The sequence below is a fragment of the Homo sapiens genome, chromosome 4 (assembly GCF_000001405.40).
Source record: "Homo sapiens chromosome 4, GRCh38.p14 Primary Assembly".
In the NCBI taxonomy this organism is placed as follows: domain Eukaryota; kingdom Metazoa; phylum Chordata; class Mammalia; order Primates; family Hominidae; genus Homo; species Homo sapiens.
This window is the reverse complement of record NC_000004.12, coordinates 60,721,822-60,749,759: the sequence shown is the minus strand read 5'-3', so window position 1 is coordinate 60,749,759 and position 27,938 is coordinate 60,721,822. Positions and strand designations below refer to the sequence as shown.

The window sequence follows — 27,938 nt, the reverse complement described above, 5'->3', positions numbered from 1 at the left end:
AAACAGTGTAGAGGCTAAAATTCTTTATAAGAAATAAAGTTTCCTTTCTAAATTTATACATCATGTGATTTTTCAGTTGAGAATTGGAACAATATACCGTAGTTACTTAAAGACAAATTCCCTCCGTTCTGATGGGTTCTATTAGAGTTATTCCTTTCTGAGGGCACATTGATTCAAAATGAAATGGAAGAGTAAAAACTTTCAAAGGTTATGGAGAGAGTGTGAGGTAATGTAATAGTTTCTAAAGTCTTAAGTGATAAATCTCAAAGCTGTTCTATAGAGCATTGATCTTGAGAATTGTTCTTCAAAAAGATAGATTTTGCCATCAAATGTATTTGGAAAATACCCATCTTCCTGTCTCACCTTAGCCCTAAGGTTTACATATACGCATGTATACCGGTTAGTTTTTTGTATCAATTTGACTGGCTCATAGGGTACCCAGACATTTGGTCAAACATTATTTGGTTGTGTCTGTGAGGCTGTTTCTGGATGAAATAAATACTTGAATCAGTAGACTGAGTAAAGCAGATACCCTCCCTAATGTAGATGGGCATCATTCAATCAAATGAAGAAATGAATATAACAAAAAGAGGTAATTCTTGCTGCTTTTCTGAAGAGCTGGGACGTTGGTCTTTTTCCTGCCTTCAAATTTGAACTGAAAAGTCATTCTTCTTGGGTCTTGAGCCTGCATAACTTTCAGACTGAAACTTACATATTGGCCCTCCTGGTTCTCAAGCCTTTGTATTCAGACTGCATCTACACCATCTGCTCTTTTGGGTCTCCAGCTTGTGATTACAAATCTTGAGACTTCTCAGCCTTTGTAATCGTATGAGCCAATTCCCTATAATCTCTCTCTTACTCTGTCTCTATCTTCATATATATATATCTCCCACTGGTTCTGTTTTTATGAAGAATCCTAACTAATATAGCATGTAACGCATTAACATATTAGCAGCTCTAAAATAGTCTGGAGTAAAAAATAAAACATCCTTACCTTTTAATGTAAAGGAAATTTCAAACTGAGTAGAAAAGCCTTGATTTAGATCTTGGTTCTGCTACAAACTGTGTGACTTTCTGCAGTTTACTTAATGGCTCTAAATAAATTTCTGATACCTCACCTACAAAATGGCATAATTAGCGAGATTCTTGTCAAGATTGAGATAATACTTCTAAAGTTAATTTTTTTCTAAATACTAAATTTTTTAGGAATTACATATCTTAGAAACTATTCAAAAGATTATAGTCATCAAAATTATTATCACTATACTTATATTACTACATGAACCTAACACATTTTTAGCCACAAAACCTTATTTTTTATAATATCTATTAACATCCAAAAAACAATATTCTAGGAACATATTTTATAAAATATATTTAGAAAAAATTGAGAGACCTGAAGAATAATTTAATATTTTTGTTAGCATTGTGAAATTTTGACCAGCCAGTTTTGTTTTTTCCAGCCAAACTTTTCACATATAATGTGGCCTTTTTTTGTGTGTGACACATTTGAGGGCAAAATGAAATGGCAGGATGTACTTATTCTAGACAGAAATTTCTAAGCAAACAGAGCTTTTAGTGAGAGAATTCTCCTGAGCAATTTTTATTTTTTTGAGAAAGGATCATTACTGGATATCTTGAGGAAGTTTTGTATGTACAATAAGAAGATAATATAATAAATAATAGTAATGACAATACCATTTCATTTTCAATCACCATTCTGTTTCAAAGTATTTCTATATCTGTCACCTCATTTAAAAAATATTTCCCACAGAAGCAGTACATTTGATATGGTCATATGGTGACAGACTACTAAAAAGTTATACTGATAACAGATAAACTGAAAAGGAAGCAGAAAGCGTTGCTCACTTTGCTGAAAGGTTATGGACATGTTGCCCTTGCAAAGTAAGAACACAGGGCTAGTAAACAGCAATTAACACTGACCAAATAGATTATACAAGAATATAAAAAGTATATCTGTAACTTTTGCCTGAATACTTTTTGTGTCACCTCTACTAGCTGGAAAGTACGTTGAACATCTCTTACTCCAACAAATCTCAAAAAGTAGAACCTTGTATATTGTGATGTCTGAGTGAAAGTATTTTTTTAGGAGAAAATATCTGTTCCCTTAAGGCTTCCTACTTCCCATAAAGCATATTTTATTAGCAACAAACTATTTCACATATATCTCAAAACATGATGACTCTCAAACTCATTCTTATACTACTTCTGCAGTTAGTTTATAATTAATACGGGCTTTCATATTGCTCATTCTTTTGTCTCTGTGACCTATTAGCACAAGGTTGAGGCAGCTAGAAAACTTCGCTGGCCACTATATTAAGGATCACAAAAAATTACTATTGCTTTCTTAATTTCAAATATACAATTCTATTACTTCTTAAACTATGTAATTGTAAGGTAAAAAGATGCACAGATATGTGCACAACATTTTCTTATACAATTTACCAGTAAGTGGTTGAAGTCAGCCTGGTACAAATGATGTTTATTTTTGGTCTCTAGAGTTACATTGCTCTGTCCCTTATCACAGACTAGATCTAATCCAGAATCATTATTTTCTACATTATTTTTGTATCTGTAAAAGGCTCCAGGCAAAATGTTAGTTAACAGATGAATCCCTTTGAACTCAAATCTGTACTGGGACAGTAAATTAATTTGAATGCCATATTGAGAGAAAATAAATGAGAGCTTTATTTATGAGAAATCAAAGAAAGAAAGATTGTCTTTAGAATTACCCAGTATGAAGCTTTATATCTAATATGGTTTGGCTGTGTGTCCACACCCAAATTTCATGTTGAATTGTCATTCTCAAAGTTGAAGGTGGGGCCTGGTAAGAGGTGACTGAATCATGTGGATGGTTTCTAATGATGTAGCACTATCCCCCAGTGCTGTCTCCTGACAGAGTTCTCATGAGATTTGGTTGTTTGAAAGTGTGTAGGACTTCCTCCTTCACTCTCTGTCTCTCTCTCTCCTGCTGACCATATGAAGACATGCTTGCTTCTCTTTTCCTTCCTCCATGATTGTAAGTTTCCTGAGGCCTCCCCAGAAGCAGAAGCCTGTATAGCCCAAACAACTGTGAGCCAATTAAACCTCTTTTCAGTATAAATTTCCCAGTTTCAGGTATTTCTTTATAAAAGTGTGAGAAAGAACTAATAGAATATCTAATCACCTCTTTCCCAGATGTATTTTATAATTCACCCTGCCAGTCCTTTCCTCTTCATATATTACAAGAACCAACTCACATCTTACTTCCTTTGTGAAACTTTTTCTGAATAGTCCACTTGAAGGTAATCTGTTCCTCTTCATCTTGCATATCAGCATTTTCTACATTGCCTGCATTGCCTTTCTCACATGTAGATGCATAATGTCATGGTTAAGCACATGAGTCATTGAACTGAAGAGTCAATGTTCACGTGCTAATTCTACATTTACTCATTCTATATACCTGGGCAGGTTGTTGATATTCCCAAACCTCCTTTAATTCATCATCCATGAGGTATGAGAAGTATATATGCAGTTTCAGGTCATTATAAAATAATTAATATAATACCTAGTATTGTAGTCTACTTTTTAAAACATGACACTTTTCTTTAAAAGATCATTATTTGCAACATTATCAACATTAGTTCTTTACGTTTTGGGCTCAAGAGGATGAGAACACACTCTCGTGGTATTTATTTTTAACTTTTTAACAAGACATTGCCAGCACCATGTCTTGTTTATAGTGAGTCACAGAAAATACTCTCAGATTAAAAGCTAACACTGGTTTAAAATAAAAGGAGGAGAAAATAAGATAAAGGGGTAAAGTAACATTATGTGGACAGTGGTAATGCTGAAAGTAATATCATGCAGTCCAAATTTAGCTTTTATATTAAATAAAGTAAATGTTAAAATTTTAGACAAAGATGCTTTCAGTATGAGCTCAAGTTAGCTGTGATTCTGCTACTATGAATAAAGCATTCTTCAAGGAACTAGAGGGCCAATAAAGAAATCATCTATAATGTTAGGGATGTGTAACATAGTGGGAATAAATAAAGTCATACTTAGATAATCATCAACAATTTTCTAGGCACTGTGGTCAATTCTTGGAATAGAATGATGATAGGTTATTATCCTAAAGCAGCTCAAGATCAAGAGGGCTGATAAGTAATCAATAAATTATGAGACGGTGATGTGTTCTGCATCCATGTTTATTCAGACCTGAAGAGGCACAGAGTAAGGGAGGGCAAGAAGTTCAGGGGAAGGAGACTGAGAAGCATTTAGGAAAAGATAACATATTTTAGCTGAATCTTGAAGACTCGGAGAAACAGACTGAAGGTTGCAGTGATTATCTAGTAGAAGGTTCTTGTAAAGGAAGCTAAAAGTTAAAATTGGAAAAGACATGAGCCAGAAAAATAGTACAGCAAATCCCTGCAATAATCTACGCAGGGTTAATCCAAGTTTTGAAATAATGTAATTAGTGATTAACTCTCAGCCTGTGACCAACCTGTGTTCTCAAATGGAAGTAGTGTTTCTCTTTTGGAGCGAAGACAAGTCCAAGTAGGAAAATAGCAGACAATCGCATCTTGAGAATGTGGGTCTTCATATCTTCATTATTCTCCTAGGCTGATGAATCCAGATTGGTCCAATAAAATGGGTCCATTTCTAGGTACATTCCTGAAATCACTGCTTCTGTCCCAGAAGTTCCAGCCTCCCACAGGACCCAGAAACATCCCCATTTATTATTTAAGCTGGAGGGAACAACTGCCATCAGGTGGCACCAGATTGCAGGCAGGCCTTGGATGGAGTTGGGGCTCACAGGCTCAGATTCCCTGATCAAGGAGCTGCACAGGCTTACTCAAGACGTGTCATTAACCTCAAAACAACGTGACCCAGCATTTAAAATGATTAAATTTTTAGATCTTACATATCACATTATCATAGGACTTTTACTGCATTTTCAAATGAGAGAAGAAAACTAAAGCCTGGTGAAGGACAACAAATTGAAGATAATTTGAATTTGCTGGCTCACCAAAGGATGAAATGGTTCAGTTACTGTGGAGGGGAGATTAGGTTCATAGGAATCAGAAGGATGGAATCCTGACTTTCAGCAGTTTAAATTTCTGGAGCAGGTATAAGCAAAGGTGTTAGAGACAGAAAAGAGATAACTTATCTAAGTGAAAAGAAAGCCAGCCTACTGGTTTATTTCTTCAATGCATAAAAATTAGAGAAGCAGTTGCATCATAAACAGGGAAAATTGGAACTTTGATGTTACTGTTTTTGTTTTGTTTTGATTGTTCCCATTTTCGGGAATAGAGTAGTTGGTTTTGTGATGTATAAAATAATTTCTACCTAATTCTTTCTTAGAGAGTGACATTTGAATCATTCCTGTCTTCTGAAATTGGCTAGAAATGTACAATGTTGGCAGCCTCAACCCAAAATCTAAATCCAGAATGGTTTAAGATGCCTAATTTTCATTTCCCCCTGAATCCCTATGTCTCTGTCTTGCTAGTGCAGCATTCAGTGTGAACTCTGCCTGGTGACATAGCTTTTCTATTGTCTCATGATCAAGCATTTTCTGTCCTCTGCCTATTGGCTGCTGTTATTACCTCTTGCTGTTGCTTATGCCTGTGAAACTTGCCTCCTAGGGAAACTTTGTCCTCAGTCCCTGTAATTGTTTCTGCTGTAGAATTACCTCCAAAAGATTCCTAAATTGAAGGAACTCTTAATCTGCCCAAAGTTTTTCCACTAGGGCCCTAGCAGTGTACAATACTTTTACCATGCTTGTTTCAAGAGATTCTGTTAACCTAGCTCTGAATGACTTGGATCTGGTGCAGCAGCATTCCAATCCATATCATTATATAGTAGTAGAATCTGCCTCTAATGTGATGCCTCTGAACTCCGACAGCACACAGGAATTAGGAAGGAAGTTCTTTAAAAATAATCTCACCCCCCATGGTTTTAAAGTCAAGAGCTATGAGCTAGGACAGGAGCCTTAATTATTTTTTAAAATGTCCTAGGGGTATGAGTATGTGCTGAGAAGCACTTTTCTGCTCTTTTAAAAATGACTGAATTATTCTTCTTTATGTTTTAACCTCCCTCTTTGATTTTTTTTTCAACATATGCTTATTGTTTGCTGGAATTGAGTGCCTAGTTTGTTGCGCTATTTCTGCACATTCTGCACTGTAATTGTTCTTTTTTGTTTGTTTTTAACTTTTTTTAATAGATTTTTTTCTTGGGAGTTTCCCTTAGTGAGAACCATAGATCTGCCAAATATATCCACTGTTTAAAAAATTTTATTCTTCCTTCTTACCTTGAGTTTGATAATCCCACCCAGGAGCCATATTTGCTTTATAGGTGGTAAATTGCAAAAAAAAAAAAAAAACAACAAAAAAACGATATCCGACCCGTATCTCTGTTGTGGAGCTGTGTGCCCTTACATGGTGTGTGTCTACCCAAAGCACAGAGCAACTTGTTTTCAGTTGGCAAAATTTTGCCTATCAGATAGCCATGGGCCCTACTTAAAGTTTTCTCTAACTTTGATTCTTTATTAAATCCTAATTTAATATACTTTTCAGCCTGGTGGCCCAGGGCACACGTAATACCTGTATCCCACCTATTTTGAAGAAGTCCCCTTAGAACTAACCCAGTAGTTCTTACAGTGTCTTACAATTGTCTCTCTGGTCTTCTCTAAGATCTCTACCAGTTTTATATAATTATCTGAGATACCTGTATCAATTCTTAGGTGCTTGTTTTTTATTGTATAACTTCTTAGTATTTCCCTGGACCCTAAATCTCCCCTGGGAAGTTATTCCAGTCTTTGATCTTGACATTTGAGGCTTTAGTTGTACTAGCTGGTCTGTTAACAACTAAAACAACATTCTATTTTCAGATACCCTTTCTACTTCATTTCCCTTTGTCTATCTCTCTGTCCTGCCCTTCCAAAATTTATTTTGTAAGTTATAACTTCTTTAATTTCTTCCTAAGATTTAACATTCCTTTTGAGGAACTATCTCTTTCCCTAAAATAGTCAGCTTTTCTTTTGTTTTGATTCTTTGCTGCTCCTTACCTAATGGGAAAATTGAAGCAGTTTTTCTAGTCATTTCAATTTGTCTTTGATTCTCTGAGCAAGTATTATTCTCAGAGCCTGAAGTTCCAAGCACAGGTCTTTGTAAGAACCTCGTCAGCCTTTGGGTTTCTAATCATTTCATTGTTTATCTCCTTAAATAAAAGTAGATAGGATAGTCTTATAAGTTTCCTTCTTATTAAGAAAAATCTGACACTGATGAGTAAATGAAGCTACATTTTACTACTGAAAAACTAAAGCCATAGTCAGAGCTTTTATATTTAATCAAATTTAGTAATGAACTTGAGACCAAGGACAGAGAGCAGAACTTTGGCTGCCAGGCAGATTTCAGATAAAGAGAAGCCTGATCGTACATCTAGCTCATTCTTCTAAACTTGATAATCAGATAGGTCAATTCTTTGCTGAAGAAAAATGAGCAAATAGGTGGCGAGACGCTAGGAGAGTTTTTCTAATGGAAGATTCTTTTACAAGGAAAAAAAACTTTAGAAGAACAACAGATGTTTTCTTCCCTAATGCTTAGTATTAGTTCCAATGCAGTTCCCTGAGTGAATGGGATGTGGAATGCCGGGCAGGGGAAGTGTACTATAATATTAAAGGCCTCAAAGCTATTCTGAAAACAAACTGGAATAACTACTCCACCAGAGATTAAAGACAGTGTGGATTGCAGTATATGACTCTTAGTTAACTGGGATTTTCTTTAGTTCTGCAGTTGATAGTTCTCTTACTTATTTTAATAAAAAACAATGATAGCAGAATTCAAATGTATGTAAAATATGATAATGTTTACATTAGAACACATGTTCTTTTATATTTTATTTTATTTCCAACAATAAAGTAGTAAATTTACTACAGAAAATGTTTAGAAGTATTGAAAAGTAGAAAAATGTTTAGTCCTATCAAATGGAAATGATGCAGTTCAATGTTGTCATATGTAAGACCACTTACAAAATTTTATTTTCCTACTGTAGCAATAACTGACAAGAAATTATCATAAATAATAAGATACTAATGCAAATATTCATAAAAATAATATTGATCTCAACAAAAAATGTCTTTTATGAAAAAAATCTTAAAAATAGAGCAAAAGAAAAATTTAAATCAATGAGGAGAAAAATATAAACTAATTAAAATTATAAAAATTAACTTGTAGCTATCTAATTCTACAATTCTATAATTTAAAATTTGAGAAATTTGAAAAAAATGTAAATTAGTATGAAAAATAAAGGTCTTAGTGAAGGTAAGCTAATGCTGAGAAAGGGAGTGTACGGTAAGACACATTACAAAGCCACATTAATGAAACCAGCACGGGATCAATGAAAGAACAAATAGATAGACTGACGCAACAGAGAAAAAAAATAGATTGCAGACTCCTTCCTTAAATGTTTGGTAAAAATCAATAGTGAAACCGTGTGTGTGTTTCTGTGCATGCGTGGTGTGTGTTAAGGGACGGTTTTAACTACAAGATAATTTCTTTAATAGACAAGGTCTATTTAGGTTTTCTATTTCCTCTTAAGTGAACCCTGGTCATTTTAGACTTTCAAGGAATTTTTTCTATTCAGCTAAGCTGCCAAATGTAATGTCATGACACTTTTAAAAATATTTCCTTATTATTCTTTCAGTAGCTTCCAGATCTTTAATGGTGTCCCCCTTTTATCCTCACCTTGGCAATTTATGTTTATTCTCTTTTCATCAGTCTGCTAAAGGGTTATCCATCTATTATCCATTTTATTTATTTATCTCCTCAAAAAAACAGCTTTTGCTCTTGTTAATTTTGTCTACTATTTTTGCCTTTCATTTATTTTATTTCTACTCTTAAATTTTCTTTGTCCAGCTTTCATTGGGTTGAATTTGCTCTTCTTTTTCTCTCCTCTTCAGATGGAAGCCTAGATTGTTGTAATGAAAACTTCTTTTTCAGTCTAGGTGTTTAGTGCTGTCAATTGCTTGATATTTAATGCTTTAGCTACATCACACAAAAATAATTTTTATGTTCTATTTCTATTGTCATTCAATTCAAAGTAATTTCCATTTTTTAATATTTTTTTCTTTGAACATTGAGTTAAATATGTATTGTTTACTTTCCAAATATTTTGGAAATTATATATTTCTTTTATTTATAATTTAATTTTACTGTGGTTAGAACACAAACTTTTTATCATTTTTCCTTTAAGTCTTTGTGGGATCTATATTGTTAAGGCATATTCATTATATAATACTGTTTAACCTCGTATACTCTTAGTTATACAGAAGAATATATATTTAATGTTCTCTGCCAGTACTTTGTCAATGTGGCTCGTTATTTTTATTGTGTAGAACTTGTTCCCTGGAAGATTCCTTAGGCAGAACTTATAGCTTAATTTAACCTGAGTTCTTGCCTGTTGTCAACTGTTTGCAAGTTGTATAATCTGAGTGTAAAATCCTCACCTTTCAATCTCTTTCCTTGAATATACTAAAATGTTTATGTCATCTTCTTCTGGAACAACTCATTAATATCAAAAGTATAAAATGAATCATTTGACCTGTTCCTTTAGGTAGATTTATTTTTTCCTGAAGTCAAGTAATTGTTCATTTAGAGTCAGCTTATGTAGTGTGTTTTCTCAAGATGTAATTCTGAATCTTTGTATTAGCTTCAGGACATTTTTTCTTGGATTAAACTACTTTTCTTTCTCAAAGTCCCTCTTATATCTCTGTTAAATAAACGTCATTTATTTGATAAATGTTTCCTCTTTTTTTGAATTGAGTTAATGTCTTTTATTCATTTTTAAAATTACTCTTTTTTTCTAGTTTTAGGGCGCTAATCGCTGTTTATTTACCTTTGCAATCTTTTTAACATTCTCTTCATCTGTGGGCATTTTTTCTAGTTTTCTCTTTGAATAATATCACTTCTTTATTAATTTTTTAATTTAAATTTATGTAATTTTTCCATAATCCTGTACTTTTATGGATACTTTTTATTTTGAAATAATAAGCTATTATTTTAATTTAACTATAGGCATGATTTCCTAGCATGCATTTGTTATCTATAGATATGTTATTTTGCTTCTTATTCTCTTTTATTATAACTTTTTGCGGGCTTGACCCTTTTCTTTTTCTATTAGTTTTTACATTAATTTGGTTTTACTCAGCGTTCAGAAGATTAAAGTTCAAGGTAGCTTTTCTGGCTTAACCTGGCTGTCTCTTTCGTTATTTTCATGTACTTAAATAAATATGGCAGCTTACTTTTTAAAATCTTCTGGATCTGATCTCCTCTCTCAATTTTATGGGGAACTCATCTTTCATTTTTTTCTATTGTTCTTGTGATGCTCACTTTTTGTTCTTTTCTCTGCAGCTTTTTTAGTTTTGAGAATTCCGAGACTCAGAAAGCTCCAGCATCCTACAGATATTACTGCTTTAGTTTTAGACTCATCTACTGTTGCAGGGTATAAAATTCTCTCCAGTTCCAACTATTAATTTTAAACTGTCCCTCTGAGATTTACAATGAGTAACTTGTTAACTTTCTGTGTCAACCTGACTGGGTTAACGGATATTGAAATAATCGGTAAGGCATTATTTCTTTGTATGTTCATGAGGGTATTTCAGAAAAAGATTCACATTTAAATTAGGACACAGAGCTCACCAGTGTGGACAGGCATCATCCAATCCTTTAACTGTCTGGATAGAACTAAAAAGCAAGTGAAGGACGAATTTGCTTTCTCTGGCTCTTGCCTTGACACATTGTCGCTCTTTGTTCTCAGGCCTTTGGACTCATACTAAATTATACTACCAGCGTCTCTGGTTCTCCTGCATGCAGAAGGCAGATGGTGGTATTTCTCAATTTCCTCAATCGTGTGAACCAATTTCCATAATAAATCAATCTTTCTCTCTCTCTCTCTCTCTCACACACACACACACAAATACACACACACACATTAATGAGGATTCTTCAGAGAAACAGAACCAACAGTACACAACACATACCCTATTGGTTTCTCTGTTTCTCTGCAGAACATTGACTAATACATACCTAACGACAATTTTGTAATTTCTACATCTTTCACAAGAGCTATTTTTTCTCATTTGTTTCTCCTACATATTTACCATGTAAGTATTATAGTGATTAGTGGTTTGTCCCCCTTCACACATACTTCTGAGTTCATGGTAATATATTGTCATCGACATCTCTGTACATATTATATGTTCATTTTAGTATTCTAGTTACTGTCCCTAGTTTCAGAAAAATTAAAAGAAAGATATCTATATCATTGTTTCAGTCATCTTAAAAGTTCCCCAAAACACTCCTTTACACACTTTCAACTAGTAAACATTTGAAAAAATGATTTTCAGAAAGTGCTGGTAGAATTTAGGGGTATGGAAAATCGTCATGTATAGCTGATGAGAAAATAGCCTTTTTCAGCTTTTCAGGAACAAAATCTCTCTATCTATCTATCTATTTATCTATTTACCTATTAATCCATCCATCCATATGTATCCATGAATTCTGCTTCTATATAGATTTTCTAGTAAAATTCTCACTGAAATGAGAATCTTCGTTTCAGTTTTGTTTGTGCTGTTGGGGATTTGAAGGCAGCCTAGGAATCTATTATTGACAGAAGTGAAATAATAAAGGTATTACACCATCAAATATTATGCAACAGTTTGAATGAGTAATAAGATGTAACCAAAACAACACGGCTAGATGTTGAAAGCATACTGATGAATTAAACATGAAAATTAACCTTTTTCTAAACAAAATATTTTACATATAAGTTAATACAAACACAGGCAAACACAAACACATACATAGTATGAACATATTTTATGTATGGTAACATATAAAGTATGATTATATACTTGTATATACATGTAGCCATACTTTATATGTATGCTTTTAATGGAAAATGAATAAAAAGATTGAGGGTCAAAGAACAAAAGTGTAACCAACTCACTTCCTTTTACTTCGTTGCAAAGGAAAACACTATTATTGAAATTTTTATATATTTTTATTTAAGCTTTCTTTTAGATGTTATTCTTTGTTTTCCTCATAATAATATTGCTTAAGTATTCTCCAACATTTAAAAATATTCCCTAGAAACATATATTCTAATGGTTGTATAATATTACATTCTCTGTGATGAGGTTCAGTTCAATGCCTAGATAAAGGAACTACATGTAAAATAAGAGAATATGCTTCAGAATGTTGCCTAAGGCGTGTGAGATGAATGAGAAATAGGAGCCAGAATAAAATGATATAAGTACATAAATAAATCAAGAGACAGCTCTTGAATGGGCACGGTGGCTCACTCCTGTAATCCCAGCACTTTAGGAGGCCAAGGCGGGTGGATCACTTGAGGTCAGGAGTTCCAGACCAGCCTGACCAACATGGTGAAACCTCTTGTCTACTAAAACATACAAAATTAGCTGGGCATGGTGGCACACACCTGTAATTCCAGGTACTTGGGGGCTGAGGCAGAAGAATCGCTTGAACCCGGGAGGCGGAGGTTGCAGTGAGCTAAGATCACACCATTGCACTCCAACCTGAGCAACAAGAGCAAAACTCCATCTAAAAGAAAAAAAAAAGAGACAGCTCTTAAACTCACAGTAGAGGTTAAAGTTCAAAGCTGTACGCTTAATGCAATTTCCTTTACAAAGTTACAAACAAATAAATAAAATATATTTAATCATCTAATTTTAGTTTTTATCCTTATTATAATTGCTTTTAGTGGAAAATGAATACAAGGATTAAGAATCAAAGAACAAAACTATAACCAACTCACTTCCCTTTATGTCCTTGCAAAGGAAAACACTATTACTAAAAGTTTGGTATATTTTTATTTGGGCTTTCTTATAGATACTATTCTTTGTTTTCCCTGTAATGATATTGCTAAAGTATTCTCCAACATTAAAAAATATTCCCCAGAGGCAGACTTAAATTTCCGTGTCTGACAGCTTTGAAAAGAGTAGTGGTTCTCCCAGCACGGAGTTTGAGATCTGAGAACAAACAGACTGCCTCCTCAAGTGGATCCCTGATCCTCGAGTAGCCTAACTGAGAGGCATCCCCCAGTAGTGGCAGACTGACACCTCACATGGCCAAGTACCCCTCTTGAGACGAACCTTGCAGTGGAACGATCAGGTAGCAACATTTGCTGTTCAGCAATATTCGCTGTTCTGCAGCCTCTGCTGCTGATATCCAGGCAAACAGGGTCTGGAGTGGACCTCCAGCAAACTCCAACAGACCTGCAGCTGAGGGTCCCGGCTGTTAGAAGGAAAACTAACAAACAGAAAGGACATGTGAAAAGACCAAATCTGTGTCTGACTGGTGAACCTGAAAGTGATGGGGAGAATGGAACCAAGTTGGAAAACACTCTACAGGATATTATCCAGAATTTCCCAACCTAGCAAGGTAGGCAAACATTCAAATTCAGGAAACACAGACCACGCCAAAAGATACTCCTTGAGAAGAGCAACTCCAAGACACAAAATTGTCAGATTCACCAAAGTTGAAATGAAGGAAAAAATGTTAATGGCAGCCAGAAAGAAAGGTAGGGTCACTCACGAAGGGAAGCCCATCAGACTAACAGTGGATCTCTCGGCAGAAACTCTATAAGCCAGAAGAGAGTGGGGGCCAATATTCAACATTCTTAAAGAAAAGAACTTTCAACCCAGAATTTCATATCCAGCCAAACTAAGCTTCATAAGTGAAGGAGAAATAAAGTACTTTACAGACAAGCAAATGCTGAGAGATATTGTCACCACCAGGCCTGCCCTAAAAGATCTCCTGAAGGAAGCGCAAAACATGGAAAGGAACAACCGGTACCAGGCACTGCAAAATCATACCAAAATGTAAAGACCATCGAGACTAGGAAGAAACTGCATCAACTAACGAGCAAAATAACCAGCTAACATCATAATGACAGCATCAAATTCACATATAACAAAATTAACCTTAAATGTAAATGGGCTAAATGCTCTGATTAAAAGACACAGACTGACAAATTGGATAGAGTCAAGATCCATCAGTGTGCTGTATTCAGGAGACCCATCTCACTTGCAGAGGCACACATAGGCTCAAAATAAAGGTATGGAGGAAGACCTACCAAGAAAATGGAAAACAAAAAAAAGCAGGGGTTGCAATCCTAGTTTCTGATAAAACAGACTTTAACAAAGACAAAAAGAGACAAAGAAGGCCATTACATAATGGTAAAGGGATCAATTCAACAAGAAGAGCTAACTATCCTAAATATATATGCACACAATATAGTAGCACTCACAGTCTTAAAGCAAGTCCTTAGAGATCTACAGAGAGACTTAGACTCCCATACAAAAATAATGGGAGATTTTAACACCCCACTGTCAACATTAGACAGATCAACGAGACAGAAAGTTAACAAGGATATCCAGGAATTGAACTCAGCTCTGCACCAAGCGGACCTAATAGACATCTACAGAACTCTCCACCCCAAATCGAGAGAATATACATTCTTCTTAGCACCACATCACATGTATTCCAAAACTGACCACACAGTTGGAAGTAAAGCACTCCTCAGCAAATGTAAAAGAACAGAAATTATAGCAAACCGTCTCTCAGACCACATTGCAATCAAACTAGAACTCAGGATTAAGAAACTCACTCAAAACCGCTCAACTGCATGGAAACTGAACAACCTGCTCCTGAATGACTACTGGGTACGTAACGAAATAAAGGCAGAAATAAAGATGTTCTCTGAAACCAATGAGAACAAAGATACAACATACCAGAATCTCTGGGACACATTTAAAGCAGTGTGTAGAGGGAAACTTATAGCACTACATGCCCACAAGAGAAAGCAGGAAAGATCTAAAATTGACACTGTAACATCACAATTAAAAGAACTAGAGAAGCAATAGCAAACACATCCAAAAGCTAGCAGAAGGCAAGAAATAACTAAGATCAGAGCAGAACTGAGGGAGATAGAGACACAAAAAGCCCTTCAAAAAATCAATGAATCCAGGAGCTAGCTTTTTGAAAAGATCAACAAAATTGATAGAACGCTAGCAAGACTAACAAAGAAGAAAAGAGAGAAGAATCAAATAGACACAATAAAAAATGATAAAAGGGATATCACTGCCGATCCCACAGATATACAAACTACCATCAGAGAATACTATAAACACCTCTATGCAAATAAACTAGAAAATCTAGAAGAAATGGGTAAATTCCTGGATACATACACCCTCCCAAGACTAAACCAGGAAGAAGTTGAATCCCTGAATAGACCAATACTAGGCTCTGAAATTGAGGCAATAATTAATAGCCTACCAACCAAAAAGAGTCCAGGATCAGATGGATTCACAGCTGAATTCTAGCAGAAGTACAAGGAGGATCTGGTACCATTCCATCTGAAACTATTCCGGTCAATAGAAAAAGAGGGAATCCTCCCTATCTCATTTTATGAGGCCAGCATCATCCTGATTCCAAAGCCTGGCAGAGACACAAGAAAAATAGGAGGGTTTTAGACCAATGTCCCTGATGAACATCGATGCAAAAATCCTCAATAAAATACTGGCAAACCGAATCCAGCAGCACATCAAAAAGCTTATCCACCATGATCAAGTGGGCTTCATACCTGGGATGCAAGGCTGGTTCAACATATGCATATCAATAAACATAATCCATCATATAAACAGAACCAAAGACAAAAACCACATGATTATCTCAATAGATGCAGAAAAGGCCTTTGACAAAATTCAACAGCCTTTCATGCTGAAAACTCAATAAATTAGGTACTGATAAGACATATCTCAAAATAATAATGATTTATCACAAACCCACAGCCAATATCATACTGAATGGGCAAGAACTGGAAGGATTCTCTTTAAAAACTGACACAAGACAAGGATGCCCTCTCTCACCACTCGTATTCAACATAGTGTTGGACGTTCAGGCCAGGACAATCAGGTAAGAGAAAGAAATAAAGGGTATTCAATTAGGAAAAGAGGAAGTCAAATTGTCCCTGTTTGCAGATGGCATGTTATGTATTTAGAAAACCCCATCATCTCAGCCCAAAATCTCCTTAAGCTGATAAGCAACTTCAGCAAAGTCTCAGGATATAAAATCAATGTGCAAAAATCACAAGCATTCTTATACACCAATAACAGACAAACAGAGAGCCAAATCATGAGTGAAGTGCCATTCACAATTGCTTCAAAGAGAATAAACTACCTAGGAATCCAACTTACAAGGGATGTGAAGGACCTCTTCAAGGAGAACTACAAACCACTGCTCAACAAAATAAAAGAGGATACAAACAAATGGAAGAACATTCCATGCTCATCAATAGGAAGAATCAATATCATGAAAATAGCCATACGGCCCAAGGTAATTTATAGATTCAATGCCATCTCCATCAAGCTACCAACGACTTTCTGCATAGAATTGGAAAAAAATACTTTAAAGTTCATATGGAACCAAAAAAGAGCCCACATTGCCTAGACAATCCTAAACCAAAAGAACAAGGCTGGAGGCATCACGCTACCTGACTTCAAACTATACTACAATGCTACTGTAACCAAACAGCATTGTACTGGTACCAAAACAGAGATATAGACCAATGGAACAGAACAGAGCCCTCAGAAATAATACCACACCCTACAACCATCTGATCTTTGACAAACCTGAGAAAAACAAGCAATGGGGAAAGGATTCCCTATTTAATAAATGGTGCTGGGAAAACTGGCTAGCCATATGTAGAAAGCTGAAACTGGATCCCTTCCTTACACCTTATACAAAAATTAATTCAAGATGGATTAAAGACTTAAATGTTAGACCTAAAACCATAAAAACCCTAGAAAAAAACCTAGGCATTACCATTCAGGACATAGGCATGGGCAAGGACTTCATGTCTAAAACACCAAAAGCAATGGCACCAAAAGCCAAAATTGACAAATGGGAACTAATTAAACTAAAGAGCTTCTGCACAGCAAAAGAAACTACCATCAGAGTGAACAGGCAACCTACAGAAGGGGAGAAAATTTTTGCAATCATCTACTCATCTGACAAAGGGCTAATATCCAGAATCTACAAAGAACTCCAACAAAGTTACAAGAAAAAAACAAACAACCCCATCAAAAAGTGGGCAAAGGATATGAACAGACACTTCTCAAAAGAAGACATTTATACAGCCAACAGACACATGAAAAAATGCTCATCATCACTGGTCATCAGAAAAATGCAAATCAAAACCACAATGAGATACCATCTCACACCAGTTAGAATGGCGATCATTAAAAAAGTCAGGAAACAACAGGTGCTGGAGAGGATGTGGAGAAATAGGAACACTTTTACACTGTTGATGGGACTGTAAACTAGTTCAACCCTTGTGGAAGACAGTGTGGCAATTCCTCAAGGATCTAGAACTAGAGATAGCATTTGGCCCAGCCATCCCATTACTGGGTATATACCCAAAGGATTATAAATCATGCTGCTATAAAGACACATGCACACGTATGTTTATTGTGGCACTATTCACAATAGCAAAGACTTGGAACCAACCCAAATGTCCATCAATAATAGACTGGATTAAGAAAATATGGCACATATAAACTATGGAATACTATGCAGCCATAAAAAGGATAAGTTCATGTCCTTTCTAGGGACATGGATGAAGCTGGAAACCATCATTCTCATCAAACTATCACAAGGCCAAAAAACCAAACATCGCATGTTCTCACTCATAGGTGGGAATTGAACAATGAGAACATTTGGACACAGGAAGGGGAACATCACACACTGGGGCCTTTCGTGGGGTGTGGGGAGAGGGGAGGGAAAGGATTAGGAGATATACCTAATGTAAATGACGAGTTAATAGGTGCAGCACACCAACATGGCACATATATATACATATGTAACAAACCTGCAAGTTGTGCACATGTACCCTAGAAGTTAAAGTATAATAAAAAAAAAATCAAAGAGAATAAAATACCTAGGAATCCACCTTACAAGGAATGTGAAGGACCTCTTCAAGGAGAACTACAAACCACTGCTCAATGAAATAAAAGAGGATACAAACAAATGGAAGAACATTCCATGCTCATGGGTAGGAAGAATCAATATCGTGAAAATGGCCATACTGCCCAAGGTAATTTATAGATTCAATGCCATCCCCATCAAGCTAACAATGACTTTCTTCACAGAATTGGAAAAAACTACTTTAAAGTTCATATGGAACCAAAAAAGAGCCCACATCACCAAGTCAATCCTAAGCCAAAAGAACAAAGCTGGAGGCATCACACTACCTGACTTCAAACTATACTACAAGGCTACAGTAACCAAAACAGCATGGTACTGGTACCAAAACAGAGATACAGACCTATGGAACAGAACAGAGCCCTCAGAAATAATGCCACATATCTACAACTATCTGATCTTTGACAAACCTGACAAAAACAAGCAATGGGGTAAGGATTCCCTATTTAATAAATGGTACTGGGAAAACTGGCTAGCCATATGTAGAAAGCTGAAACTGGATCCCTTCCTTACACCTTATACAAAAACTAATTCAAGATGGATTAAAGACTTAAATGTTAGACCTAAAACCATAAAAACCCTAGAAAAAAACCTAGGCAATGCCATTCAGGACATAGGCATGGGCAAGGACTTCATGTCTAAAACACCAAAAGCAATGGCAACAAAAGCCAAAATTGACAAATGGGATCTAATTAAACTAAAGAGCTTCTGCACAGCAAAAGAAACTACCATCAGAGTGAACAGGCAACCTACAGAAGGGGAGAAAATTTTTGCAACCTACTCCTCTGACAAAGGGCTAGAATCTACAATGAACTCCAACAAATTTACAAGAAAAAAACAAACAACCCCATCAAAAAGTGGGCAAAGGATATGAACAGACACTTCTCAAAAGAAGACATTTATGCAGCCAACAGACACATGAAAAAATGCTCATCATCACTGGTCATCAGAGAAATGCAAATCAAAACCACAATGAGATACCATCTCATACCAGTTAGAATGGCGATCATTAAAAAGTCAGGAAACAACTGGTGCTGGAGAGAATGTGGAGAAATATGGACACTTTTACACTGTTGATGGTTCTGTAAGCTAGTTCAACAATTGTGGAAGTCAGTGTGACGATTCCTCAGGGATCTAGAAGTAGAAATACCATTTTACCCAGCCATCCCATTACTGGGTATATACCCAAAAGATTATAAATCATGCTGCTATAAAGACACATGCACACGTATGTTTACTGTGGCACTATTCACAATAGCAAAGACTTGGAACCAACCTAAATGTCCAACAACGATAGACTGGATTAAGAAAATGTGGCACATATACACCATGGAATACTATGCAGCCATAAAAAATGATGAGTTCATATTCTTTGTTAGGACATGAATGAAACTTGAAACCATCACTCTCAGCAAACTATAGCAAGGAGAAAAAACCAACACCCCATGTTCTCACTTATAGGTGGGAATTGAACAATGAGAACAAATGGACACAGGAAGGGGAACATCACACACCGGGGCCTGTTGTGGGGTGGGGAGAGGGGGCAGGGAAAGCATTAGGAGATATACCTAATGCTAAATGACGAGTTAATGGGTGCAGCACACCAACATGGCACACGTATACATATGTAACAAACCTGCACATTGTGCACATGTACCCTAAAACTTAAAGTGTAATAATAATAAAATTAAAAAAAATAAATAAAAAATAAAATAAAATAAAATAAATGAAAAAAATATATATATATTCCCTAGAAATGTATATTTTATAGGCTATGTAATATCACAGCCTCTGTTTTGAGGTTCAGTCCAACGTATACAAAGCCCAACATAGAAGTTACCTGTTAATTCTTTCTAACAAGCCAATGATTCTCAACTTGAAGTCCTGGCCTCCCTATGATCACAGAGCTATGGTAAAGGAGAATGGAATTTTATAATCTGTAATGTATATTTCCATACAGAGAAGACTTAGATATACTTGCAGTAGAAAAAGCAGTAGAAATTGAATATTCTTGTTCTTTTCATGTAAGCATGTGAGTATCACTGAAGACACAGTTGTATGTCTCACCTTCTCTCCACCAGAAATTTCCAGGTCTTTGGAGTTTGATGAAAAAAATTATAGGAACTCAATTTATTTGTTGAGATATTAATTTTAATACTGAATGCCCTGTCAAGGTATTGGTTGGGATACACCTAATACTTAAAATAGTGGGCAAATTACTCTGCTACTGACAGGAATGTGATTACATGAAAAGTAATTCAGTGTGGGTGGTAAATGACAGGAGGAAGTTGAAAGAAGTTTTTTAAAAGATTATTTGTGAATCATCTCCTTAGAGGTAACTAATAAGAAGATGGAATCATGACTCACAGAGTCCTGAGGAAAAAAAAATATATTAAAAAGTGGATAACAGCTTTGGTAAGCAGTAGGGGCTCTTCTAGTTAAATTACAGAATGAAGAAAAGGAAATGAGGCATTAATTAGACAATAATTTCAAATTGGAAAATACAAAGTTAAATTGTCCCTGTTTGTAGATGACACAATTCTATACATAGAAAACCGAAGACTTCGCCACAAATTGAAAATAAACTTATTTAGCAAAGTTGCAGGATGTTAAATCAATATATAAAATCAGTAACTTTTCTATACACTAACAGTGAAATATTCAAAAATGGAAACAACAAAAACAGTCTCATTTACAATAGCTAACAAAAAATGAAATACTTAAGAATAAAGTAATTTTTCCAAAGATGAAAGATCTGCACACTAAAACTAAAAAACATTGATGAAAGAAATTGAAGAAAACACAAATATATGGAAAGATATCCTCTGTTCCTGAGTTGGAAGAACTAAAATTATTTAAATGTCCATATTATCCAAAGCTATCTACAGGTTTAATGCAATCTCTAGCAAAACCACAATGACAGTTTTCATGGAAAGGAAAAACAATCCTAAAATTTGTATAGAGCTACTAAAGGCTTTAAATAGCCAAAGCAACCTTGAGGAAAAAAGAACAAACCTGGAGGCATCATACCACCTGACTTCAAAATATACTGCAAAGTTATTATAGTAAAAACAGTATGGTAGTGACATATAAATAGAAAGACAGGCCAATATAACAGAAAAGAGAGTCCAGAAATTCATATATTTCTGGTCAATTGATTTTTGACAAAGGTGCCAATATCACAAAATGGGGAAGGGACAATCTCTTTATAAGTTGTTTGGGGGCAACTGGATATCCATATGCAGAAGACCAAAATTAACCCTTATGTCAGATCATGTATAAAAATCAATTCATAATGGATAAAGACTTAAAGGCAGGACCTGAAAATGTAAAACTACTAGAAGAAAATATAGGTGAAAATCTTGATGGCATTGGTTTGGGCAATGATTTTTGGATATGAACTCAAAACCACACACAAAAGAAGCACAGATATAAATGTGATTACATCAAACTAAAAAGCTTCTGCACAGCCTAGGAAACAATCAACAGAGTGAAGAGACAACCTGTGAAATGAGAGTAAATATTTGCAAACCATATATCATATAACTAGGTAATATCCAAAGTATGTAAGGAACTTAACCATGTAGTAAGAAAAATAACCTGATTTTAAAATAATCAAGGGATCTGTACAGAAAATTTTCAAAAGATAACCAGCAGGTATATAACAAAATGCTCAAAATCCTTAATCACAAAAGAAATGCACATTGAAATGACAATGACATATTGCCTCACGTCTGTTAGAAAAGCTATTACCAAAAGAAAGAAAAAAAAGGTAATAAATGTTGGAAAGGATGTGGAGAAAAGGGAACCATGGTACACTGTTGCTAAGAACATCAGGTAGTACAGCTATTACAGAAAACAATATGGAAGTTCCTTAAAAAAAAAAATAAAACTACTCTATGACCCAACAATACCACGACAGAGTATATATCCAAAGGAAATAAAATAAATATGTTGAAGAGATGTCTATACTCCCATGTTTACTGCAACATTGTTTACAATAACAAAGGTGTGGAATAAGCCATCAATAAATGAATGTATGAAAGAAAGTGTTCTCTCTCTCTCTCTCTGCATCAGTCTATATATGCACGTGCGCGCGCGCGCACACACACACACACACACACACACACACACACACACACAGAGTAGATAGAGGAAAATACATTATATTGGTAATTAGGACCTAGATTCCACATTTGAAACTCCCAGATTTCTGACACTTAAAAAAAATTCTTATATCCTGTTGTATGTCATAGCTTTTTCATTTGTAAAATGGAAAGTTTAATTTATTGATTTCCAAGACTATAATTATAAAATATTAGAATTCTGAGTGTGACAAAAATGTGAAAGAAAAAATTATATGTAGTAATATAAATGAAACAATTTTGATTTTTCATGCACATTATATTAAGAAATATACAGTATATGATTTCAATAATATTGTTAATTACCTATTTTCACATATAAATATTGAGCTATGCACATTCTCTAAAAATGTCTTTTTATACTTTTTATATCTTCTACCTGCAATAAAAAAATCTTAGAACATAGGCCAAATGAAAATGTACAGAAAAATAAGACTTTGAGTGATATCAATCATATACTTTGCTCATCTGGATGCAGCAGAAGCATGGATTAGTGGCATAGCCTGGGTTGAAGCCAAAGGACATCACAATAAAGGGCCTTGAGCCTTTCCTCTGGCCAGATGTGTACATGAGGCACATGCTTTCTTTCCTAGATATGTATCTCACTCTGGGAAAGAGCCAGACAAACAGGCCTATGCCTGAGATATTTGAGTGACTGAGAAATTTTTCCTGGTAAGACTGATCATTGTCTAAATGGAATCTTAAATCACAAAACTGGATTTACATTATTCAAATTATTAATATAATTTAAATTTGTCAAATTTGAAAGGCTCTTTAAATTTGTTAAAAGACAAAAATTCAACAAATTTTGTTTAAATATCTAATTGGCCTTCATTAGCAATTTGTGAATCAGAGAGCTTCTCATCTAAAGATTTACAAAAGGCACTCAGATGAGCTGAGCAGAGGAGACTGGCTTTATAGGCAGAAAGGGCTGAAGAGATTAGAAAAATGGAACACAAAGCAGATTGGCTAGCATTTGTTAGATTACTCCAGGTTTCTTTCCTTTTTAGGGTTAAAGCAGAGGAGACGTTTTGTTTTTTATCATGTCTGATAAAACAGGAATGTTTGGGGATTTGGCTATTATCTTTCTCTGTTCTGATTTCTTGGTAAGTCAGATAAACAACTTAGTGTCAGTTTGTTAAATAAAGAAGTTTAGCACGAGTGACTCCATTTTGGTTTTGTCTGTTGAAGCCTAGTGCAGGAACTCAATCCAAACCAATGACTTCCTATAAATTTATTTAACAAATTATTGAATTGGATTAAGTTTTAAACATAAAATATCCAAAGTAGAAATTTTTCCTTTAACCCATAGTGAAACGTGGGGAGTAACAGACATTGGTTACAGGCAAACTAAATTAGGCATATTTCTCTCTGTATATCTGAGGTATTGTGAGTTTGATTTGGACTCCCATATATGCCACTTTATAAATCAGAGATCTTGGGCTGTATTCTCTTCCTGTTATGTTTAGATATATTGATGACTTCTAGAGTAGAGTATACCCTATATAAAAAGAAACAGCTTTTCATATGTGCCCAAGCTACAAAGTTCAAGGCAAGGGACCTTAGCGAGATCAGTCAAGGATTCATTGAGATTTCCAAACAAGAAGTTTAAACAACATGGCAGTGCACTCTAATAACTTATATAGCTGCATCACTATATGATAAGGAAGTTCCTTCTTAAATGTCTTCTTATTTTATTCTTGATGAGGTGTTCTTAATTTCCTAGTAGCAACCCTATCAATAGGAGTTAGGAATCCAAGGAGGTGAGGGTGGAGTAGGCATAAAATGTAAGTAGGTCATGTATGGCCCTTTATTTGCTTATTAAATAAATAACTGTTGATCACCTATGTTGTATCAGGCACTGCTCTGTGTGGTGGAGTTGAAAGGGTAAACAAGACAGACATGAAGTTTATGTTGCAATGAGGTGAGTTAGAGACAATAAAGCAACAAGATCATTTCAAATGGCATTAACTGCTATAAAGAAAATAAAACAAATTCATTTAATCAAGAGTTTGGGAAGTATGGAAGTTTGAAGCAGATGATGAGGGACAGACTCTGTGAAAAGCAATCATTTTTAACTAAATCAGAAGCATACGATAGGGTCAATCATATAACAATGGAGTTCAAGTGAGAATTTGGGCAAAGGAAATAGGCCACAGGGATCAACCTTGGTTACAGCAAGACAACAGAGATTAGTTTGGTTAGTGTGAGGGGCTGGGTGGGAGACAGGCGTTTGTAGAATTTGTCAGGGCTTAATTAAACAAAACCATGCTAAGTAGTTTGGATTTCTAAGTAGAATTATGTAATAGATAATATTGGTCCCCCAATTCCTTAGGATCTATATGACTATTTTTGTGCATATTTCAGTTTCTGTGCACTTTTCTTCTATGAATCTTGTTTGGAGGAATGTCCTCAAGATACTGGAGCCTGCCTGGTCCACACTTCAGAGAAATATCTGAAAATGTATGCCCACGATCTTCCACCCAATAATTAGATAATTAATAGGTGCAGCTTGTAGTTGGGAAAACACAGAGGCTGAATTTTCTCTTCAGAGTTCCTCTGTGGGATTAGGCTGAAGCTGCGCTTTACGGGATTTTGCCTGTGATGACACCCTCACTTGGATTTTGTCCTTTCTTGTCCTGCTTTCTCAGCTCTTCCCTGGGGACAGCTCCTTACCAGTTTCCCTGGGAACAATTTCTTATCAAATCACTTGCATACCAAAGCTCAGCTTACATTCCATCTGGGACACTCACCCTCTGACCAGTTGGAAGACTTTGGAGAAATCTAAAGAGAAAAACAAAAACTGACTAATGTTAAAAATATCACTGCGGCAGTTGTGTGAAGAATGGATAATGGGGGCTGGGGGAAAGCAGGGAATAAGGAACAAAGGTAGGCAGGTTGTATTAGGCTGTTTTTGCACTGTTATAAAACAATACCTGAGACTGACTATAAGAAAAGAAGTTTAATTGGTTCATGGTTCTGCAGGCTGTACAGGAAGCATAGCACTGGTATCTGCTTTTGGGGAGGCCTCAGGAAGCTCACACTCATGGTGGAAGGTGTACGGGGATCCTGGACATCACATGGCGAAAGCAGTGGGGAGAGAGAGTGGATGGAGAGGTGCCACACACTTTTAAATGACCAGATCTTTAAGAACTCATTCGCCATGGTGAAGCTACCAAGCCATGAGGGATCCACCCCCATGACCAAAATGCTCACAACCAGGCCCCATCTCCAGCATTGGGGATTACAATTCAACATGAGATTTGAGTAAAGACAGATGTCCAAAGTGTATCACAGATGAATGAAACCAAAATATTTCTCCTTGAAATATTGAGAATTGTTAAGTTAATGTCACTAAAAACATAGGAGAATGCTCTGCCTCAGCCTCTATTTGCCTGGTGGCAGGACATCGTTCCCTCCTTACTGGAGACGACACTTGCTTATGGGCCCAGGGAAGGCACTAGCAAGCACCAGAAGAATCTGGGAACAGATTTTACAATCTTTTCACATGTTCCTGCCTTTTAAAAGACTGGAACTGCTCTCTCCTCTGTCTTATCACTAGATAGGATTTATGGCTCTTTGTTAAAGTACTATTTAAGCAAGGCCCATAAACCACTACCTTGAGAGAGAAATACTTTTAAACTGAGGCCTCTCCTGCGTGATGGGTACAGCATGTTTTAATAAACTTCTGGTTGTTTTTACTTTTCTGTTAATTTGACTTTTTGTTTTTAGGAGATGTCTCAACTAAGAATTTTAAAAGAAACTATGATTTCTCCCCTACAATTTTTCAATGCAGCCTGGAAAAGCAGAGATAATTCACTTGTTCTGGGACCTATAGAGGGAATCCTGAAAGAGAACTGGCAAAAGTCCACAGAAAAAGGTAAGGTTTCTTACTCAAGCCAGCTTCTCCCTCTGTGGTACCTGGTGGAGAGAGGAAAGTAAATTCTTTTCCTTGTCCCTGCCTTTCCAGGTTCATATTAACAGGAAAAAAAATCTGTAAAAAATGGTTATTTGAATTTGTGACTCTTGTAGATTTGTTGTACATACTTATTTGGTTATTGATTTGTCATTTTCCTAGGATGGTCTTTGTTTTCCTTGTTTCTGTATCTTCGTATGGTTTGTCATGAGAAGAAAAAGCCTCATAAGGTTCTCCTTTTGTCTTGTTTTATTTCTTAAGAAGTTTGGCTTTCTAACGAGCAAGTTTATTTTCTCATCTCTAACACCTTGAAGGGCACAGATTTTGTTAATCGTGTAAGGCAGCCATGTGGGAGTTCAGTTGGGGGTCCCAAATGTCTGTTTGTCCAAATGTGCCAGCTTTTGGGAATTGTTCTTAATTATCTCAACTTTCATTGCCTTGCTAATAAGGAGGGATATTACTTTCTTAGAGCCTCTTTTTGGTTTATTTTATCTTATTTTTTTCTAGAAACAGCGTATCGCTCTCTCACCCAGACTACAGTGCAGTAGCATGATTATGGCTTACTACAGACTCAATCCCCTGGGCTCAAGTGATCCTCCTGCCTCCGCCCCCTGGAGTGGCTAGGACTACAAGCATGCACCAGCACACCTGGCTAATTTTTAAATTTTTTGTAGAGATGGGGGTCTCACTATATTGCCCAGGATGAGCTCAAACTCCTGGCCTTTAGCAATCCTCCTGCCTTGGTCTCCCAAAGCACTGGGTTATAGCCTTGAGCCACTGCACCCATACTCTTTGGAAGAAACTTTAGATCTTGAGGGGTCACTACGTTTTTATACTCTCTTTAGGGATGCTATTCTTGCATCGGATTGTAAGCCATAAAAAGGCTTACTGGCCCAGCGTGGTGGCTCACGCCTGTAATCCCAGCTTTTTGGGAGGCCAAGGCAGGCAGATCACGAGGTCAGGAGTTCAAGACCAGCCTGACCAACATGGTGAAACCCCGTCTCTACTAACAAAATACAAAAATTAGCTGGGTGTGGTGGCGTGCACCTGTAATCCCAGCTACTCGGGAGGCTGAGGCAGGAGAATCATTTGAACCCAGGAGGCGGAGGTTGCAGTGAGCAGAGATTGTGCCATTGCTCTCCAGCCTGGGTGACAGAGCAAGACTTTGTCTCAAAAAAAAAGGCTTACTGGTGCTAAGTTACAATTAAAAGTGGATATACCTTTGAAAATTTGGACTTTTGTATCTAAAAGTATTTTTTTAAAGAGAGCCTTCTCAGTCCCTTGGAGTTGTAAATTCTACCACGGCTTTAAAACGTTAACATAGAGGAGATCAGTTAAGTAGTATTCTAGCAGAGATCAGATTTGAAAGAGAGTTACATTTCAGAAAGAAAAAGCCAAGGAAACAAGGCACAAGAATATTTGCCATTTGCCCAGCTAATATCTGCTAATTTTTTAAAGACTTACATATTTAAAATTTTACCTATAGTATACATATATTTAGGTTATATATATATATGTGTGTGTGTGTGTGTGTGTGTGTTTGTGTGTGTGTATTCTTAAGACTTCTGTTCTCTCTCTACAGAGGCTTCTCAGTTGACTAAATTCCTCTCTTTGTAAATCCCTGCTAACTATTAATCTATAAACTCCCTCTGCCTGTTTATCCTCTTGGTGACATAATTTTTGCCACAAGGACTTGCTCTTTCATTTACTTTTCTCTGTCCCTGCTTCCAGTTGCTATCCCTGAGGTCACATGAGGAAACCTAAGGAAGATTTCTAACGACACTAGGACCTCTTGAGAAAAACAGAAAAGATGCC

General features: G+C 35.9%; 1 annotated feature.

Annotated features, from left to right (window-relative positions):
- Positions 24,584–25,783: an enhancer, noted in NCBI's record as "BRD4-independent group 4 enhancer chr4:61589695-61590894 (GRCh37/hg19 assembly coordinates)". NCBI's record gives its function as "activates an origin of replication core promoter dependent on BRD2, P300/CBP, MED14 and CDK7 cofactors, and independent of BRD4, by STARR-seq in HCT116 cells {active_cell/tissue: HCT116}" and the evidence as "EXISTENCE:reporter gene assay evidence [ECO:0000049][PMID:35650434]".